The following is a 21,334-nucleotide window of genomic DNA, read 5'->3' as shown; positions in this document are numbered from 1 at the left end:
ATCTCAAACAATTCAACTTCATCTATTAATATGCTCAACCATTAACTTTTTCATTTAATAAATATTGAGTGTCTACTACCTGAACATTTAATTTTACAATTGAAATTAGAAAAAAACAACAAAAACTCCAAAATATTTTCATATGCTTTCCCTCATCAATATTTTTCTCATGGTTATAATGACTTAACTTTCTTCATTTTTAATTGTTGTATTTTGTTTGTAATGCCTTTTTGTTGTGTGCAACAGAGTGTGAACTCATGTTTTGAAAGTTCACAGTTTCACATTTTGTTTGCATTTTCTCTTACTTTTCTCTCTGCCTTGAATGTAGTTTTTTTTTTTCTTTTCTTCTTCTAATAGTTCCTTGGTAATGGACTGACCTAAGGAAATACAGTTATGTATAACTTACAGTTGTTAGATTAGTTTTGAAGTTTTAGGTATGAAATTCATTAATTTTAGCTATTGTCTACCATCTCATTTGAAGGTTTTAAAATTAAGTGAATCTCAGTACAAATTCTGCCAAACATACATGTACTTATGAAACAAGTGTGTGTTAGCAGTCACAGCACATTCTTTTTTTTTTTTTTAGACAGGGTCTTGCTCTGTTGCCCACTCTGCAGTGCAGCAATGCAATCTTGGCTCACTTTGTCCTCCACTTCCAGGGTTCAAGCGATTCTCGTGCCTCAGACTCCCGAGTAGCTGGGATTACAGGCATGCACCACCACTTCCGGCTAAGTTTTCTATTTTTAGAAGACACAGGATTTCACCATGTTGGCCAGGCTGGTCTTGAACTTCTGGCCTCCAGTGATCCACCCACCTTGGCTTCCCAAAGTGCTGGAATTACAGGCGTGAGCCCCCTCACCCAGCCACAACACATTTAATGCAACATATTCAGTAAATCCAATAATTTCCAGCTGTATGTTTGGGCGGTTTAAATACCACCTTATATGAAATATTCATGCCAGGGATATGAAACAATTTTCCAGAAGCAATTATTTTTACCATTTTAATTGATATCATTGAATCAGAATTATCCCAAACCTTTGACTGGATAGAGGACCACTGAAGGATGCAGCTTCAGATGCCATCCTTAAAGAAGCAAGGAAGTGATCTCTCTAGATGCTGATATCCTACTCATGCAAAGATGAGGAGTGTGTCTAAAATATTTTTGTTAATCTATATTTCTTGAATTCTTTCAGTTCCATCAGTGAATGTCTATCTTTAATTATAATTATACTAATTAAAATGTCTATTATTTAAAAATAAATCAATGTTAATCTCAAGTGCTGATGGAGATATGAAAAAGCAAAGTGTTTATTGTAGTGGTACATGCTATGGAATGTAACATATCTGATATTGTAACCATCCATTAAATATACATTTTGAAGTAGTACAGTTCCTAACCTAAAGTCACTGAATATACTGACACATATATACTTAATGCATAATGATATATCTTGAAGTAAATTACAGCCATTGAAACACTACCCGTTGCAATAAAAAATACATTTGTATAAGACAAAGGTTATAAATGTCTCAGTTTTATATTTAGTGTTTTTATCTAATGGAAATTATTTCCTAATTAGATATGTATCAATCCATTTAAATGAATTGAACAAAATATTGGCACAAAAATCTAATGAAACTAATTTAGCCCTGCTATCCAGACTAATGATGTCACTGGCATTTTAATCTCAAAAACAATGTATGCAAGATAACTAACCTGAAGATTTATTTCAACCTGAAGGTATGAATTATTACTAGAGGAATAGATTTGAGCGATGGTAATTTCAAAATCTATCTAGCCTTCTGAATTCACTCTTTATCTCCTTCTTCAAGTTATTTTCTTGGTAATTTTAAAAAATTCTGTAAATCACAATATTACTGTTCAAGCGATATATTTGAAATATATCTTAGAAACAGAAATAAATGGTTGTTTCAAATAAAGGTACGGTAAAATCTGCTACAGTAACAGTGAATTTATTCCTAATAATTTTTAAAGTTGGACTTATGTAAATTACAGACAATTTTATTAGTTACATAAGTGTTTTTGAGTTGTATATGTTTTGGTATGTTAATTATTATTATAAAATATGCCTCCTTATCTCTAGTAAGACCTTTTGTCTTACTTACACTTATCGTCGGGTAAGACCTGTTTTTAACATAACAACTATAAAAGCTATAATTTTATAAATGCAATGTTACAAATTAGCAAAAATGTAGCAGCCTGAAACAAGGCACATTTATTATCTTATAATCTCTGGGTTTCAGGAGTCCAGACCCCATTTAGCTGGGAACTCTGCTAATAATCTGAATCCCATCTGCTATTTGGGGCTCTTTCTCAAGCTTACTGCAGGTTGGCGCAGCTATAAGACTGAAGTCAATGCTTTTCTATTGGTCCTTGAAAAGCAGTCACTCAGTTCCTAGAGGGTACCCTTAGGTTTCAGCCAAGAGGCCTTCCCAAAGCAGCTTAGGTCTTCAAAACAAGCAAGACACACTCTCTCTGTCTCTCATTCTATGTAGCTCTATCTCCATCTCTATCTCTGTCTCTCTCTCTCTATGAAAGGTCTGGACCCTCTTTTCAAGGGCTCATCTAACTTGTCAAGCCTAGCAAGGTTAATCTCCTAATTACCTTAAAGTCAAATGACAAGTCACCTTAATTACATAGGCAGAATCCCTTCACCACTGCCACCTTTCCTGGAGTGAAATCCGAGGACATCCACAAATCCTACTCATGCTTAAGGTGCTCACTTCCATAAGTAACACAAGAACCTAAGAGATCTTCAACTACATATTACGTTATTTGACTTTTGTTCTTTTATTGTCATGTATTATTTAACCTCATAAGACATTGGTATCATCGTAATTTTCTACAGTGAACATGCATTATATTCACAGGTTTATTTATTCTGTCTCCACTTTTTTTTTCCTGTTTTGCATCTCTGTACTTCCATCTGGGAAAATGTTTCTTCTTCCTTTAGTGATACTTTTCATGTTTCCTGTTTTGCAATTTGGTACCTGATGAATTCTGTCAAATTTTTTGCCTTATTTATCATGATAATATCTCTATTATCACTTCATTTTATAGAGATTTTTTTAATAGCAGGATGTTCTAAGAAACAGATGACAAAAAAGTACTTGACATAAAAGAAATGTATTAGAGAAAATGACTGTAAAAGCAAATGAGGAAGGAACAGGCAAAGGTTGGAAATTTCCTCAGATAATGCAGGTCAGACTCTGAAAGATAAAGGGAAGAAGGGAGAAATGGGATAAGGGTAGTTGGAAGTATCTCAGTCTAACATATATTTCTAGAAAAAAGTTACTAAGCCTTTTTTCATGTGTCTGTTGGCTGCATACATGTCTTCTTTGGAAAGGGTCTCTTCATATCCTTTGCCCACTTTTTGATGGGGTTGATTTTTTCTTGTAAATTTGTTTAAATTCTTCGTAGATTCTGGATATTAGCCCTTTGTCAGATGGGTAGATTGCAAAAATTTTCTCCCATTTTGTAGGTTGCCTGTTCACTCTGATGGTAGTTTTTTTTTTTCTTTTTTTGCTATGTAGAAGTTCTTTAGTTTAATTAGATCCCATTTGTCAATTTTGGCTTTTGTTGCCATTGCTTTTGGTGTTTTAGTCATGAAGTCCTTGCCCATGCCTATGTCCTGAATGGCATTGCCTAGGTTTTCTTCTAGGGTTTTTATGGTTTTAGGTCTAACATTTAAGTCTTTAATCCATCTTCAATTAATTTTTGTATAAGGTGTTAGGAAGGGATCCAGTTTCAGCTTTCTACATATGGCTAGCCAATTTTCCCAGCACTATTTATTAAATAGGGAATCCTTTCTCCATTTCTTGTTTTTGTCAGGTTTGTTAAAGATCACATGGTTGTAGGTGTGTGGTGTTATTTCTGAGGCCTCTGTTCTGTTCCATTGGTCTATATCTCTGTTTTGGTACCAGTACCATGCTGTTTTGGTTACTGTAGCCTCATAGAATAGTTTGAAGTCAGGAAGCATGATGCCTCCAGCTTTGTTCTTCTTGCTTAGGATTGTCTTGGCAATGTGGGTTCTTTTTTGGTTCCATATGAACTTTAAAGTAGTTTTTCCCAATTCTATGAAGAAAGTCATTGGTAGCTTGATGGGGATGGCATTGAATCTATAAATAACCTTGGGCAGTATGGCCATTTTCATGATATTGCTCATCATCACTGGTCATGAGAGAAATGCAAATCAAAACCACAATGAGATACCATCTCACACCAGTTAGAATGGCAATCATTAAAAAGTCAGGAAACAACAGGTGCTGGAGAGGATGTGGAGAAATAGGAACACTTTTACACTGTTGATGGACTGTAAACTACTTCAACCATTGTGGAAGACAGTGTGGTGATTCCTCAAGGATCTCGAACTAGAAATACCATTTGACCCAGCCATCCCATTACTGGGTATATACCCAAAGGATTATAAATCATTCTACTATAAAGACCCATGCACTCGTATGTTTACTGCAGTGCTAGTCACAATAGCAAAGACTTGGAACCAACCCAAATGTCCATCAATGATAGATTGGATTAAGAAAATGTGACACATATACACCATGGAATACTATGCAGCCATAAAAAATGATCAGTTCATGTCCTTTGTAGTGACATGGATGAAGCTGGAAACCATCATTCTGAGCAAACTATCGCAAGGACAGAAAACCAAACACCACATGTTCTCACTCATAGGTGGGAATTGAACAACGAGAACAACTGGACACAGGGAGGGGAACGTCACACACCGGGGCCTGTCATGGGGTTGGGGGATGGGGGAGGGATAGCATTAGGAGAAATACGTAATGTAAATGACGAGTTAATGGGTGCAGCACACCAACATGGCACATATATACATATGTAACAAACCTGCACGTTGTGCACATGTACCCTAGAACTTAAAGTATAATAATAATAAAAAATTCACTAAGCCCATGAGTGAGTCCTCAGGTCACAGATGCCCATCAAAGAGTCCTGAGTCTCTTTCCTAGAAATGGGCTTGCCTTAGTGACCTTGCCATGCAGTCATTCGCTAAGAGCAGTCTGTGGGAAATTAGCCTGGGAGCAAATTCAGGCATGGGTTTCAGAGCCCAGAAGATGGGGGTTTAAGTCAATTGTAGTTAATGCAGGTGAAAATTTGAGAGGAGTATTCTGATGGCAGCAATATTAAAGAATTCTATTTTGGTATTTAGTTCTTTCTGAACTCAGAGTCTGTCCGTTGTTTTCTAGCTGTCATTTTTTCCTTCAAGAAATCGGCTCTCAGTCTCATAGCTGCAGGTTTGAAAGTATTGTCTTTTTTTTTTTCTTAAAATTCTCTTTATTTTTATGAAGTTTGATGTTTTATAGGGCAGTTATGTTTTGTGCAAGTCATTGTTATCTACTCAATGGATGAAGAGATTTGAAGCTGGACTTCAGACTTTGTGAACAATCATACATTTCTTTATTCTTTTCCTTAGCTTTAGCCCTTTGGGACTCCCAAATGAGTGTGGAGCCCCAACTTTCTTGAGACCTAAACTCAAATACCCACTTTCTCTTTCCATGTTAGATGGAGAAAGCTCTCCTGAGCTTCCAAGTCCCAGCTTTTGAATGAGCAAATTCTCTGAGGAAGAAACGTGATTCAAAATAATGGGCTCACCTTTCTCGTCTTCCCTTTTTTGGGGAGTCTTGGTCCTTCAAATTCTTGCTAGCTTGGTAGCTTTCTGATGTTTCCAAACATATGGTTATTGTTATTATTTAGTACAGTTTTTAGTTATTTTCAGTGGGAAGGCTGGTCTGAAAAAAAGCTAGGACACAATTGCTAAGAGCAGAACATTTCATTTAAAAATGTTTAAGAGACCAATTTGTATAAGTTGACTGCTTTTTTTCCTGCATTTTTTCTAGCAAAATTCAATGCCATTATTGTCATGATACAAATATAGCTAGGCTTTACTCCCCACTCCTGTACTTGGTAATTCACTGTTTTTAACTAATTCTGATTAGGAGTACAACACAAATGTAAATGTAGCGTAAACCCTTTTTAAGTTTATTCATTTATTTATTTTCGAGACAGGCTCTGGCTCTGTCACCCAGGCTGGAGTACTGTGGCACTATCTCGGCTCACTGCAACCTCTGCCTCCTGGGCTCAAGCAATCCTCCCACCTCAGCCTCCTGAGTAGCTGGGACTACAGGCACATGCCACCATGCCCAGTTAATTTTTTAATTTTTGTAGAGATGAGGTTTCGCCATGTTTCCCAGGCTGGCCTTGAACTCTTGAGCTCAAGCAATCCACTCACCTCTGCCTTCCAAAGTCCTAGGATTACAGGCAAGAGCTGCTGTGCTCGGCCAAGTTCATTTATTTTTGGATAGAAAAACATGTATTCTACTCCTGTCATATTCTGTTTATCACTTTCCAGATATGTGACCTTGGCCAAGTTAATTAAATTCTGTCTTTTTACTGTCATCCACAAATTAAGAGAAGTAAGTAAATGTACCTCAAATATATAGAACCAAAAAGAAAAAGCACGTTTTTGAACTTAGGCTGTTTAATCTTAAAGAAATAAGTATTTGAATGAAAACAGACTTTGGTTTTTAAGATAATTTGTCATTTTGAAATATTACAGTCAGATTCTTTAGTAAGTTCCTCCCACCTATTTAGTATTCATTTAAAAATATTCTTTTATTTACAAATACTAGATTTACATATTTTAAGGATAGCTTTATTATATAAAGTGAGAACCATATTTATAAAACAGATCATTCTTAATCCTAAGATCTAATTTAGATATAATTCCATTCTTTAGAATCCAATATAAAAGACTACAGTTTAAACAAATATAAGACAGTTAATAATGTAAAAGGATCTACTGCACTTTTAAAATTGCACGTTAAATAGCAAAATTAAATAAACAGTGAAAATTGCATGTTTCATTCTCAAAGTTAAGGTCATATTGAGCATTTTTAACCTGGGGTAGCTATTAAATATATGCCTAATAATTATCCAATTTGGAAATAAAGATGTAGATTATAACATACAAGAAGGACATTTTATTGGAAATTTATTTTCCCTTAATATGAGCATGAAAGAAAGTGAGACACATATTACCTAAACATAATTAACATTTCTAAATGCATGAATAAATGGAAAAATTAAGCTTGGTATCTGGAAGTGCTACGAATTATGTAACTGGAAAGAAAATCAAAATGTTATCTAGGCTATGATTATGTTAAAAATTTTTACCTTTAACCATATGAGGTAGAACCATGTTCATAAAACCAATGGTCAGCCATACTAATCATTGCATAGCTTATTTGGGCTGGGTAATTCTGTTTAATAATAAAGTTGTTTAAATTTTTAAAAAGGTAAAATTCTAGTTTAGTTTAATCCAAAGCATAGGTATAAGCCTCAGCAAAATTCAGTAATAAGTATAATTAACCCTAACGATATACATAACTATTATAAAGTATACTACTAAAGAGTACTCTCCACAGCCACATAAAACAATTGACAGCAGTGTCTTTTATAAGACTTGCAATTTTCTTTACAAAAATTGCTTGGAGAATGACTACTCATTTACAATGGCTAAAATCCAAAATGACTACTCAGAATGGTTAAAATCCAAAAATCTGGCAATATTAATCCCTGGTGAGGAGTAATAGGAACACTCAATCATTGGTGGTGGGAATAAAAAATTGGTAGGGCCACTTTGGCAGACAGTCTGGCAGCTTTTTACCATGCTAAATGTAGTTTCACCATGTGATTCAGTAATCTCACTACTAGATATTTACTCATGTGATTTTAAAATTTATGTCTACACAGAAACCTGCTCATGAATGTTTATAGCAGATTCATAATCACCCCAAGCTGAAAACAATCAAGATATACTTCAATAAATGAGTGGATAAACAAACTGCTACATATATATATGTGTGTATATATATATACACATATATACATATATATATACACACACACACAATATAATATTATTTAGCCATAGAAAATGAGTTATTAAGCTAGGTAAAGACATGGACAAATCTGAAATGCATACTGTTAAATAGAAGAAGCCAGTCTGAAAAAGCCATATGCTCTACAATTCCAAATATATGACATTCTGGAAAAGGTAAACTATAAACATGGTAAACAGACCAGTGATTTCCAAGAAAGGATGAAAGTTGAATAGGTGAAGCACAGGCAATTCTTTAGGGCAGTGAAACCATGCTGTATGACATTATAATGATAGATACATGACACTACGCATTTGCCAAGACCCACAGAACTTTTTAGCATAGAGTCAACCTTAATTGTACCTATTTTTAAGAAATCATTTAGGAACTGAAGGGATCCAAGGATGGAATGCAATATGTAAAAAAAGAAAACTTACTTATAAATGCATGAAATAACCTCAGTGGAGTTAGAATAATATGTTAATATAAATAATTTTAGAAATGAGTGAATTTGGTATGATGAAAGGCAAAAGAAGCTGTATGTGTGCACTGTACTCTACTTAATACAGATGTTTCCCATTTGGGTACAGGTTAATGATTTTGATACCACTATAGATGTATAATTGAATTGAACAATTAAGTAAATGAATGACAGGTGGTGGGAGCCAGATTTTATATTATCAGAGTGAAAAGTTACAGATAAGGAAGACAAGAAAGCCAGAATGACTCATGTGTTAATGGATTACAGTTGGAGAGATCAGTGTAAAATCGTGTTTAGCTTTATATAGGTACATATGGTTACATACAGAATATTGATAGAAATGTGTGTATATGCAAGTTAGCATTTTTTCTTTGCCTGTCAACTTAAAGGGCCTGGAAGTAATGACGCTCTGGTATCTATGCACATACCTAACACCTAGATCTTGTTTTGTAATGCCATTCTAGAAAAAAGAAACCAAGACACTTTGGAGAGATTGCTGAATCTAAGTCTGGGGAAGGAAATATATAAGATGAGATGAATGTGTAGTAATGCTGGTAAGTTAAAATGTTTTTTAAAAAAAATGAAAGTATGTCAAAATGACCCGGGAAACAACTATAAGAGCTAGCAATGGCCAAAGTTGGAAAACTTTGAGCTAAATAAATATGAAATTATAACCCAAACTTACAAAAACCTATGATTCCATACTGATATAAATAAATGTAGAAGAGCCAAATCGTCCATGCAGAGCTTCAAATATTTATATAGAAGCTCTACCCTGGAGAAGACGGAGCATAGTGCTTCATTTCTTCTTTTTTTGTAGTTTAATTTAAAGTACTGGGATACATGTGCAAGACGTGCAGGTTTGTTACATAGGCAATGTGTTCTTAATATGGCTGCATATAGTGTATGCCTTACAGTGAGTACCACATGGAAAGGCAAAAAATTAAAAATAACTCTACAGTGGAGAAAAATGGTAAAGACTACCCCACTAAAGGTTAATATTAACAGAAAGTCACGTTGAGACAATGTAACTTTGATACATTGGAAATGGCACTTTACCTCTGTGGTTTTCCTCCCTGGAATGCATGATCTCAGTATAGTTATGAGAACAACATCAGATAAACGCCAACTGAGTAACACTTTACAAAATGGCTGATTACTGCTTCTCAAAATTGTCAAGGTTATCAGAAACAAGAAAATTCTGAGAAACTATCACAGCCAAGATGAACCTGAGAAGATATGAAGACTAAATGTAATTTGACACCCTGGATGAAATTCTACAACAGTTTCTAAAAGTAAGAAACATATTTATCACTTATTTGTATAAACAAAATTAATCAAGAATTGATTATCATTAGGATGAGAGTAGCTTTCCCAATAAAAAGTTGCAATATTTTGCCCAATTTTCGGTACGGAGTCAGTTTTCAGATGTACAATCCACTGACTGATTTGGAGGTCAAATTCTACGATCACAAACTACAATATTGCGACCAGAGTATTCAGCAGTGGTTCATAGGAACATTCTACCCACAAAACCATGTAATGAGTAAAGGGAGTGCCAATATACTTTAAGAATTATTAAATATAGGAACTTGATTGAAATTGATATTCAAAGAACCAAATCACCAATTACTTCCACCATTTTTTTGTTGTTTGTTTTTTTGAGGCAGAGTCTCACTCCAACACCCAGGCTTGAGTGCAATGGCATGACCAAGGGTCACTACAGCCTTTGCTTCCCAGGGTTAGTGATTCTCCCACCTCAGCCTCCCAAGAAGCTGAGACTACAAGTGTGTACCACAATACCTGGCTAATTTTTTTTAATTTTTATTTTGGTAGAGTCTGGGTTTCTCCGTGTTGCTCAGACTGGTTTCAAACTCCTGGGCTCAAGTGTTCCACCCGCTTCAGTCTCCCAAAGTGCTGAGATTACAAGCATGAGCCAGCAGGCCCAAGCCTGCCATTGTTAAGATGAGGGCAGATGGCAGCCAGATAATAAATGCGTCCTGGCCTGGGACCAGCTCATAATTAATTTACAAGATCCAGAGACCCATATACTAGTTGTTTTCTCAGTGTATAATTGGATTATACACTTTATACAATTAATGAATGATATAAAGTGTATAGCTAAATAATGATTAAATAATATTAATAATTATACAATTTTGTAATTGAAGTCTATAAACTGGCTAGTTAGCAGAACACTTGCACTGGTTGCTTGATCTGTGGGTTAAGACGAAAACATACATGTACAAAGAATGAATAAAACCTTCCCAAATATGCTTAAAAACATTCATCAACCCATCCAAGAAAATAAATCTAAATAGGAAAAATGCAAAGAGATCTCCACCTAGACACAAAAAAGTAAAGGGGTTGAAAAATAGAGAAAAATTTTGCAAGCAAAAGGATGAAAATGATGCATCACCTACAGTAGAACAATACAAGTAACAGCTGACGTCTCATCAGATAAGATGGCAATATAAAGGCAGTGAAATGTTGTATTTGCAAGGTTAAAGAAAACAAACAACACCTGTCAACAAAGAATTTTATGACCAGCAAAATGCTTGTTCAAAAATAAAGGTGAGGCCAGGTAAGGTGGCTCATGCCTGTAATCCCAGCACTTTGGGAGGCCGAGGCGGACAAATCACGAGGTTAGGAGTTCAAGACCAGCCTGACCAACATGGTAAAACCCTGTCTCTACTAAAATTACAAAAAATTAGCGGGCACAGTGGCAGGCGCCTGTAATCCCAGCTACTCAGGAGGCTGAGGCAGGAGAATCGCTTGAACCCAGGAGGCGGAGGTTGTGATGAGCCGAGGTCATACCACTGCACCCCAGCGTGGGCAACAGAATGAGTCTCAGTCTCAAAATAAGTAAATAAAATAAATAAATCATAAATAAAGGTGAAATAAAAACACTCCTATATAAACACAAATTAAAATTAAAATAAAATAAAATTTATCAATAGAAGACTTGATTTCCATGAAATAACATAGCAAATCCTTTAGTCTGAAAGGAAGTAACACCAAATGGTAACTTAAAAACACAAAGGACAAAATTAAGACAACCAGAAAAAGTAAATATATGATAAAAATAAAAGTTTCTATTGTCTTTAAATTGTTTAAAAGACATATATTTATATAAAACAGTAACTACAATACTGTACTTTTGGGTTTATGGCCTACATAGACATAATATATATGACAATAACAACACAAAGAATGAATAAGAAAATTAAACTTTATTGGAATACAGTTCCTACATTTAACCAGAATTAAGTTAACATTAATCTGATGCAGGCTGTTATAAATGTTAAGATGCATATTTCAACCTCAAATATTAATATTTGAAAAATAAATTAGCAGAGGAATTAAATTGGTACCCTAAAATACTTAAAAAAAAGGAAGTAGTGAAAGTAGAAGACAGAAACAGGTTATGAGATATATAAAAATCATACAACAAAATGACAGATACAAATATATCAATAATAACATTAAATATAAATGGACTAAACATACTAATGAAATGGCAAAATACTTAAACAGAATAAACAAAATAAAATCCATTTACATCTACAAGACATAAACTATAATACCATAGTTTGAGAATAAATGTATAGTAAAATATATAGAATGCAAACAGTAACCCTAAAAGAGGTAGAGTGGCTATATTAGAAGCAGACAAAAAAGCCTAATATAAGAACTATAACTTGAGACAAAAAAAAAAACAAACAACAAAAAAGAAAAGTTCAATACATCAGAAAGATATTTTAAGACTACCTGAAGCAACAACTGATAGAAGTGAAAGGACAAATAGAAAATTCAATAATATTAGTTGGAGAGTTCATATAGTAGTATCAGTAACAGAGCAACTAGACAAAAATTCAGCAAAAATATAGATAATTTGAACAGTATTAAAAAGATATGAGCAGTAGTGTTAGGCAGCTTGATCTTTTATAGCATATTCCACCAAATGTCAGGAGAATTCACATTCCTTCCAAGTCCAAAGGGAACACATTTCAGGATAGACCATATACTGGATCACAAAGCAACATAACAAATTTAAAGCGATTAAAATGATACAAACGTGTATTTTCCAATGCCAAAAAGATTAAATTTGAAAGCTACAGAGAAAACGTAAGGGAAATAACCAAGCACTTAGAAAGGAAACACGATGATTGTGGTTAACCAATAACACAAATAAGAAAAAGGAAAATAGAAAATATGCTGAAAAAAAGGAAAATAAAGTTATATTCAAACTGATGAGAAACCACTAAAACTGTACATGGAGACAAATCTGTCATTTGTACAATGTGTCATAAAAAACAAATAGCTTCAAATCAATCATCTAATTTTCCACTTTAATAAACCAGAAAATGGAGAGCAAACTAAACCTGAATCTAGCAGAAGAAATGAAATAAAAAAGTGAAAATTAATAAAATAGGAAAAACACTTGAAAAAAATTAATGAAAACAAAAGTTGGTTTTTCAGAAACGATTAATAAAATTAACAAATATTTAGCTAGTCTGAATAAAAAAAAAAGAGGGAGAAGACACAGATCACTAAAATCTGGAATTAAAAGGGACATTATCACTAACCCTTCCAAAATTAAAAACATTAAAAAGGAATACTATGAACAACTCTAGGCCCACAAATTGCATAACTTACATTAAATGGATATGTTTCTACAAAGATGCAAATTACCAAAAGCGACTGAAAAAATCAGATGTTAAAATAAATATATAACAAACACTGTAATCTAATAAAATATCTTCGAACAAAGAAAAGTCAAACTCAGACCTAGATGGCCACACTGGTAAGTACTAAAAATATTATTCCCCTTGAAAACCAGCACAAGACAAGGATGTCCTCTCTCACCACTCCTATTCAAAGTAGTACTGAAAGTCCCAGCCAGGGTAATCAGGCAAGAGAAAGAAACAGAGGGCACCCGAAGAAGAAGAAAGGAAGTCAAACTATCTCTGTTTGCAGATGATATGACTCTGCATCTAAAAAACAAACAACCCCATTAAAAAGTGGGCAAAGGACATGAACAGGCACTTTTCAAAAGACATACATGTGGCCAACAAACATATGAAAAAAACTCAGTATCACTGATCATTAGAGAAACACAAATGAAAGCCACAATTAGATACCATCTCACAATAGTCAGAATGGCTACTATTAAAAAATTTAAAAATAGCGATGCTGGTGGGGTTGCAGAAAAAATGGAACACTTATACACTGTTGGGAGGAGTGTAAATTAGTTTAACCATGGTGTAAAGGAAAACAGTATGGCGATTCCTCAAAGAGCTAAAAGCAGAACTACCATTCAACCCAACAATCCCATTACTGGGTATATACCCAGAAAAATAAAAATCATTCTACCGTAAAGACACATGCACGTGAATGTTCATTGCAGCCCTATTCACAATAGCAAAAGACATGAAATCAACCTAAATGCCCATCAATGACAGATTAGATAAAGAAGATGTGGTACATACACACCATGGAATACTATGCAGCCATAAAAAGAATGAGATCATATCTTTCACAGGAACATAGATGGAGCTGGAGGCCATTATCCTCAGCAAACTAATACAGGAACAGAAAACCAAATAGCGTATGTTCTCACTTATAAGTGGGAGCTAAACGATGAGAACTTACAAACGCAAAGGAGGAAACGACAGACACTGGGGTCTTCTTGAGGGTGGAGGGTGGGAGGAGGGAGAAGAGTACAAAAGATAACTATGAGGCACTGGGCTTAATTCCTGGGTGATAAAATAATCTGTCCAGCAAACCCCTGTGACATGAGTTTACCTATGTAACAAACTCAAATGTACCCCCTCAAATCTAAAAGAAAAGTTAAAAAAACGTAAGTTTTAAATCAAGACCTATCAAGTAGATAATTTCAACAGAATATTTACTGTTTGTTTTTTGTTTCTAAAGACCATAAAACTCTAATAATACTTAATAAAACAAAAGAATTGTGTTGCTGACAAAAAATTAAAATAAAATACTGAAAATAAAATGCTAACCCTTAATGAACCTCAAAAAATAGAGGAGAGAACATATCCCAAATCACTCTTTGAGGCTGGATTCTCCCTGATGCCAAATCACACAAAAACATCACAAGAAAAGGAAAATACATAATGTCCTAATAAGCAAATGTTCTTAAAATATTTGCAAACTGAATTCAGTAATATTTAAAAAGGATTACACACCATCATCATCTGGGATTTCCACAAAAATGCAAGACTATATTAGCATCCAAAAAATAAATCCATGTAATACATAATATTAATAATGGAAGAAAAGCATACAGTATCATCTCAGTAGATTCAGATACTGTATTTGACATAGCCGACATCTATTTCTGATGAAATGCTTAGCCAATTAGAAAAAGATGAGAATTTTCTCAAACTATTAAAAGGCACCCAACAAGAAAACTTACAATCAATATCATACTTAATGGTGAAAGACTGAAAGATGTCCACTTTCACTGTATCTATTCAACAGTGTACAAGAATTTCTAGCTAGTACTTTCTTTCAAAAGAAAGAATCAAAACCATTTATTATGTATATTAATTCACATATGTCATAATCCTCTATGTAGAAAATTCTGAGGAAATCACATACACATACCTACTAGATTTGATAAACACATTTAATATGGTCACAGGTAATAAAATCAATATGCAAAAATCAATTATATTTTTATACACTTACAATGAATATTCTGCAAACATAATTTTTTAAAATTCCATTCACAAAAACAACAAACAAAATACTACTCAGGAATTAATTTAAAAAATGCAACCCTTGTCCGTTGAAAATCTATAAAAGATTGCTAGGAAAACTGTTCAACGATCCAAATGAATTGGTAAAAATCCCACGTTCATAGATAGAAAGATTCAATAATTCTTTTGATCTCTCCCCAAATTGCGAACTCACCCTAAATTGATCTATTGATTCAAAAAAGTCTCCATGAGCTTATCAGATTTTTTGGGTAGAAATTGACAAGCCTATCATTACAATTATTATGTAAATATAATAGCTTTAAAATAGTCAAAAAAATTTTTAAAAAGAACAAAGTTGGAAAGCATAGGATACCTGACTTCTAAACTTTCAAAGTACAGTAATAAAGACAATGTAATCATAATGTACATACAGATAAGCATATAGACTAACTGGACCAAATTCAAAGTTTGGAAATAAACTCTTAATTTGGTTATTTTTAGTAAAGAATCAAAGATAATTAAATGGTGAGAGAATGGGCTTTTGAAGAAATAGTAATAGAACAACTTAGTATTCCTATGCAAAAACAACAGAAAAGAAGAATAAAGAACTTAGCAACTTACCCCACACTATACACAAAAATTAAATCAAAATGGGTCACAGATGTAAATATTGTATAAGAACTAATACTATAAAACTTCTGGAGAAAACCTAGGAGATAATCTTTATGGCCTTTGGATAGGCAAAAATCTCTTGGCTACAGTACAAAAATATGATTTATTAAAAACATTATATTGTTGAACTTCATGAACATTAGAAACTTTTATACTTGAAACACAACATAAAATGAAATACAAGCCATATTTATAAGTCATATATCTGATAAAGGACTTACATCTAGAAAATATCAATATTTTCAAATCAATATTTAAAAGACATAAATTCCAAGTAAACGATAGTTGAAATATTTGAATAAACATTTTACCAAAGAACACATATGAATGCCTAATATGCACATGAAAAGATGCTCAATATCACTAGTAATTAGGGAAATGTAATTGAAGAACACAATGAGATACCACCGCACACACAGTAATGGCTGTAATTAAAAAGACATAAAATGAGTGTTGGCAAGGAAGTGGAAAAATTGGAACCCTCACACATTGCTGGTGGGAATAAAAATGGTTCAGCTACTTTGGGAAAGAGTTTGGCAGTTTCTTCAGAAAAAAAGTACATCTACCATATGGCCCTACCTTTCCACTCCTAGGTATTTACTCAATAAAAATAAAAGCATATGGCCATGCAAAGACTTGTATATGAATGTTCACACTAGCATTATTCATAACAGCCCCAAACTGGAAGCAACCCAAATGTGTATCAACCAGTAAATGAGTAAACAAAATGTGTTGTATTCATACCACATTTGCCAGATACGAACGACTGTATACGGTATAATATTTACATGAAATGTCTAGAAATGGCAAAGCTATAGGACAGAAAGTAGATAATTGTCTAGGACTGGCTATGGGAATAAGAATGGACTAAAAATGGGCAGGAAGAAACTATTATGTTAATGAAAATGCTTAATATTGGATTGTAGTGATGGCTGCAAAGCTTCATCAATTTACCAAAAATCATTTAAATGTAAATTTACAGTGTCCGAGTATATGGCATGTGAGTGTTACCTAAGCTATATAAGGTAGATATCACATTTTGGCAGAAGATGGCAGAAATTAGTGCCCCTCTCAAAGATTTATAAAGGCAGCCCTATTTATTTTTCTGTCTAATTCACCAATCTGACAACTATATACTGTATGCGCCACTCATTCTTCAGGATGAATTTACCTGTTGTAGGTGGACTAACAGTCCCTCAAACATGTCTGTTACATGGAAAAGAGGATGTAAAGTTGCCGATGGAATTAAGGTTGCTACTCAACTGACCTTGATATGGGACGATTATCCTGGATCATTCAGGTAGGCTCAATGTAATCACAAGGTTTCTAATAAAGTAAAAAAGGAGAAAGAAGTGTCACAGTTAGAGTCATGCAGCATGAGAAAAATTAGATTGGCAATTACTGCTGACTTGGAAGATGTAAGGAGGTCAGAAGCAAAGGTACGATGGTGGTCTCTAAAAGCTGAAAAAGGAAGAAAGAAAATGAATTCTTCCCTAGAATCTCCAGTGAAAAACCCTCTTGACACTTAATTTTAGCCCAGTGAAACCAATCTTGGACTTTTGACCTTCCGAGCTTTCACATAATACATGTGTGTTGTTTTAAGCAACAAAGTGGTAACTTGTTACAGCAGCAATAGAAAACGAATATAGCACCCAGCCTATAGCTGCTGGAAATACTGGCTACTGATGAGTCATAGATATGTCTCTCACTGGGAATTGTCCTTAACTACAAGGAATTGTCTAGTCTTGTAGGTTTTTCTTCCTCTCAGGGGATGCAATGACTAGTTGATACGGGGTTACAAAGACCTAAGTTGAAGGTAAATTACAGGTAAGCTTCTTAGTCTGCCCAGTCCTACCTTCACTTTCTTAAAATCGAATATCCTGAGGTCCTTTCCTAATAAACCTTCTGCATGCAAGTCTTCCTTTTAGAGTCTATTTCCTGTGATACATATTGATTAATGCAAACTCAGCAGAAAGAGCCTATGTCTCTTCACAGACAGCTACACATAAATCTTTGTGTCTCAAAGTTTAGAAGTTTTAGAAACTCTAACTCATTAAAGTTTTTCCATAATATTTCTATTCTCAGGTCTTCCTTAAGATAGCATATTTTGATTAATACCTACATTCCCAGGGTCACAATACTGTTAATGCAAACTGATTTTGCTAACTTGGGCTTTTAAAGAAGTTTTTGTTTATTTAAAACAGTGGTTTTGGTAGGTGAGGTTTAAATTCAACACATATGTAGGAAAACAACTTAAAACTGTTCTCCATTGACAATGTCCTCCCAAGAACACATTGTAAAAAAGGACTATATTTTAAATACTAACTTCATGGTTGCCTATAATATATGGAGCCATGAACAACAAAGGCCTAACTATAAGTTTTTTTGCTTTGAAAATATCATTTATTAATTGTTCAGTATTAAGTTGTGATTTCATTGTTATGGCTTATTTCTAATTTGATACTGAGGGCTCTCTCTCGAAAGTGGTGAGAAGCCAAGATAGCCGCTCTTTATGATAGTGCAGATGAAAGGGGTAGTAGGTAGGGGAGTTAGGTTTTGGTGTATGTCTCAGGTAAGAAACAATGCGAAAGTAAAATCGAAATGCATAAAACGGAAGAAATTTATTACTCACAGGTCCTAAAGATGTTAGGGGCACTGGTCAAAGTCTATGGGAAGCCTGGAGGAGGTACAGAGGTCAACTGGTGGGGGAGGGAAAGAAGAGGAGTCTTTCCTTCAGGGGTTGTGGATTGGCTAGTTTACAGAAAACACACAGTAAGAGAGGAACTTATTTACAAGACTCTGGTGTTTGACTATTAGGTTTTATCATGTTGAACAGCTGTGAGTGTATGGGGTTTGGGTCAGTGGAATGAGGCTATATTTCAAACAACTACACAGGGAGAGGAAGTTTTAGCTAGGCCAAAGGTGATGAGGTAAACTGACTTTCAAAGAACTTAGGTCAGGCTTTAAAATTAATGTCAGGACAGCAACTATATGAAACAAATTTATGACAAAGTCTACGTGGGTGACTTCTACAGAATTGACTTCTGTTAGGCCTTAGTTTTTGAGTGACACCAGTCTAATTAATTGCTGTTCATGACTCATAGCTATCACAGATACTGGGTTTCACATGAATCAACAGTTAATAAAATTCATAAGTATTGCAAAGAGGTCATGAATCTGAGAAGCTCTATTAGTTTTGCTTAATTTCCCCCTTTGTGAAATATGGATAAGTTGAAAAGCACTACTCATATTCATCTTTTTACTTTTTCTTATTTACTGAACTTTTATTGAGTATAATCAGAGAATCTTGGCACGTATTTGGCAAAAAATACATCTTTATTACTGAGCTACTTGTTCAGATGATTTAAATTTAGGACCAAAAGAGACTCTAGAATGATTCCTATGTGTCAGGTAATCTGTTGGGAGAAAAAAGTAATTTCAGTGATCTGATTCTATATCTAAGGAAAAGAAGCCTTAAGAGTTTACATGGCCAGGCACAGTGGCTCACTCCTGTAATCCCAGCATTTTAGGAAGCAAAGGTGGGCAGACCATGAGGTCAGGAGCTCGAGACCAGCCAGACCAACATGGTGAAACCCCACCTCTAAAAATACAAAAATTAGCCTGGCGTGGTGGTGTGTGCCTGTTAATCTCAGCTACTTGGGAGACTGAGGCAGGAGAATCGCTTGAACCCAGAACACTGAGGTTGCAGTGAGCTGAGACTGTGCCACTGCACTCAAGCCTGGATGACAGAGTGAGACTCCATCTCGAAAAAAAAAAAAAAAAAAAGAAAGAAAGAAAAAAGAGTTTACATGACCCCCAACGATACACAGCTAGTGGTACAGAGCCCTTAAAATCAGAAGAACAAGATGGAAGGGAAATCAGGGAGATTCAAAGTATGAGGAAGATTTGACCTACTCTTGTTGGCTTGAAGATAGAGTGGGTAGTGTCAAAAGCATGAGAAGAATATGAATTCTAGAACAACCATTGATTTAGGGAAAAATCCCACACTCCAGATGAGAACCACAGCATTTGTTGACAGTTTGATTTCAGCCATCTGAGACCTTGATCAACCATGCCATGTCGGACTTCAGAACTATGAAAACAGAGCTCATAAACAGATTTTGTTATAAATAGCTAAGTTTGTGGTAATTTGTTGTGCAGCAAAAGAAAAGGAAAATTTGTTTATTCTGTCATTTCCACTGCATGAACCATGAGTAAAACATTTTTTCTTGGTGTTTCCTTCTTTCTAAAATCATAGATTGGGTCGTCTAGAAACATGGAAGAAAGAAACACTGCCTGAAAGATAATAAAATGCAGGTGCATAAAAGTAGAATGGACTTGGAAAAACTGCTTTTACATTTTGATTTGGTCACTTACTGGCTCTATGACCTTAAGCAAGCCTATTTTTATTTTCTTTAAGTCTTACATTTCATGGCTGACAAAAAGAGAAAATAACAACACTATTTCTTAGAGTTGTTGTGGAGATAAATAGAAAAAAGTCGTTTTGAAGGCAAAATGCACATTATACCCAAACTGAAAAGCAGAATTCTAAATGGGGAGCTGGGAAGAGGAATGGAAGAGCTAAATATGTCTTTTCTGCTATAGTCTTTGCCAGAATCTTAACAGTAATAGTAGAATAGGATCCTCCCACTCCAGATATCTATATATACCATTTCTTATGAGAGTCTGATTATAGCCTGAAAAAAATTGGGCCTGTCTTAGCCCACTTTCACTAATGAGAACTATATTCAGTAAACTGTTTTCTATTTTCAACATACTCTAAAGAATATGTTAAAAGCTCTGTCTGATATCAAGGTCCACTTCTTCATTTCTAAGGAATGGTTGGAAGCCAGGTGAAATGTCTGCTGATCACGTATAACCCTAAATACTGTTCATTTATAACTCACACCCTTTATTCTAGAAGATATTAGGACATGGTTTTTAAGGGTGTAAGCTCTGCACTTGTTAGTAAAGGTACAGTTCCTTATCCCAGCCCCTGTAAGTTAACTCCACCCTAGATAAGGAATTTAACTTTTTATATTCTATAAAATGGGTATGGTAATAGTCCCTGAAATAGTCAGAGTTCTCATATATGTGTGTGTGTACACACACACACACACACACATTTACACATACACACACATATATATACACACACACATACACATACACATACACACACACACACACACACACACACACACACATACAAAGGAATTGGCGTACACAATTTTGGGTGGCCTAGGCAAGTATAAGTTCCACAGGGGGGAAAAGCTCTCAGGCATGGGCTGTAACTACTATACAAAAGCAGAAATTCTTCATCAAGACAGCCTCAGCTCTTCTATTAAGACCTTTCTACTGATTGATTCAGGGCCAAAAAATTATCTAGAATAATCTTTTTATTTAACGTCAGCTGTCTCACATCTACATAATACGTTCATAGCAACAGTTAGTGTTTGGTTGAATAACTGAGGGCTGTAGACTAGACAAGGTGACAAATCAAAAGACC

The 21,334-nt window shown here is 34.5% G+C and overlaps 1 long non-coding RNA gene across 1 annotated transcript in view; it reads right to left on the bottom strand.

Moving 5' to 3' along the window:
- The window catches only part of NRXN1-DT (NRXN1 divergent transcript), a 1,375,317-nt gene that overhangs the window by 863,165 nt on the left and 490,818 nt on the right, over positions 1–21,334 (bottom strand). The window contains exon 5 of the long non-coding RNA NR_135237.1: positions 17,093–17,151. This is a non-coding gene — a long non-coding RNA (NRXN1 divergent transcript). The remainder of the gene's footprint in view (positions 1–17,092; positions 17,152–21,334) is intronic.

The sequence above is a fragment of the Homo sapiens genome, chromosome 2 (genome assembly GCF_000001405.40).
Source record: "Homo sapiens chromosome 2, GRCh38.p14 Primary Assembly".
Taxonomy (NCBI): Eukaryota; Metazoa; Chordata; class Mammalia; order Primates; family Hominidae; genus Homo; species Homo sapiens.
This window is presented reverse-complemented; position numbering and strand designations above follow the sequence as displayed.